Consider the following 1,585-nt stretch of genomic DNA (forward strand, 5'->3'; position numbering starts at 1 on the left):
TCACCACTTTCCTCCCCTTTTATTCTTTTTCTTTTTTATTTGATTTTTGATATACAGTCCAACAGAATCAAGTCTTGATCCTTTTTTAAATTTAGCATATGCTCATAGTAGAATTATTTGCTAGATTCAGTCATGACATATTTATTTTCTATACATTTATCCTAATACATGTTTTATTACAGTGTTTAGTTCCTTTATTCAGATATCAAAATTCTCTCTTTATATTAGAAAAAAATATATTTTCATCTGGCGAGCTTGGATTTTTTTTTTACTCAATTGTTATTATTCTTTCCCACTGTAATACACTGCTTTCTTAAAATAAATTATTTAAATGAATTAAAGCACAGCATGGATAAACAAATAACAATGTAATTGCACAAGGAGACAAAGATTGTTTTTTGGAAAAATGAGATCACTTATGCAATTTAGTTATGCAATTTTCTATATTCTGAAGAATTACAAGGCATTAAGTCATTAATGGGAAGAAAGAACAGTGGTATTTCTGAGAAGCAGGCATAGAAATGCAGAAAATATATGCCTTTGATCTAAATGACAGAAGTAAATTTGCCAATGGCATAATAATATTAGGCATGTTTAAATGAACCTATATTACTTGAAAGGCAGATTCAATATTTTTCAGTTTGAAGAGGCCATTCAATGTCAAGCATAAATGAAATTAAGTTATATACATAATATCTATAATAGAATTTGCTACATTAACGCTTACAGATGTGGGTTAATATTTTATTTGCATACATCACCAAGTCTGTCCTGTTCTTTGGTTGGATTTATCACATTTCTGCAGACATGGCTTGCTGCTGGAAATGGACATGAACAATCAAATTTTCAGTTTGAAATAAGTGAAAGATTCCACTCCAGCTGTATTTGCTAAGCCTTTTGGTAGCTGCAATGATAAGGCAAAAAGAGTTTTGAGAGTGAGAAATCTAAAGTGGAGATGCAAATCTCATGCTCTATTGCTGTATTATTATCTTTGAATATGCTGATCCTGACTAGCCTCAAACTAGCTGTACCAGAACTGAAAAGAAAAGAGGAAGGGGTTATGGTTCTTACTTTGTGAACTGCGCTACATCCATTTTTTAGCACATTTTTATTACAGTGAAACACAGTTTTATTAATATATATTTAAAGTAGTTTTTGTTTCATAAACTATTATGAAAAAGCACTCCATTTATATTTCTAGTTGTTGCTCCTTATGCACACAGAGTCACATATCTGTATCATACATTTATATCTAAATGATGTCATATTATGGTTAATCAATCTTATCAAATAAATTGGTGAATAAATGTTGAGTTCTATTTTTAAACAAAACGGAAGTATTTTTAATATTTCTATGATAATTAAAAACAATTTATTGGTTTTAATTTCTACTTTCTAAGGATGCGATTCCTTAACTATTTAGTTAGGAATAGATAGTATTAATAATTATTAAAGTTGAAAATACACAAACACTCAAAATCGTGCAGGTATTTTCCTGCCAGCTTAATCATCTGCATTCCAATAGATATTTTTGTTTCAAATAGTTGTGCACAGTCATTTTAATATGACCAGAGAGATACCTCCT

General features: G+C 29.4%; 1 annotated feature.

The window, feature by feature from the left end:
• Nucleotides 792-992: a silencer, noted in NCBI's record as "peak5118 fragment used in MPRA reporter construct". NCBI's record gives its function as "represses an SCP1 promoter by STARR-seq MPRAs in K562 erythroleukemia cells {active_cell/tissue: K562}" and the evidence as "EXISTENCE:reporter gene assay evidence [ECO:0000049][PMID:32103011]".

The sequence above is a fragment of the Homo sapiens genome, chromosome 4, assembly GCF_000001405.40.
Source record: "Homo sapiens chromosome 4, GRCh38.p14 Primary Assembly".
NCBI lineage: Eukaryota > Metazoa > Chordata > Mammalia > Primates > Hominidae > Homo > Homo sapiens.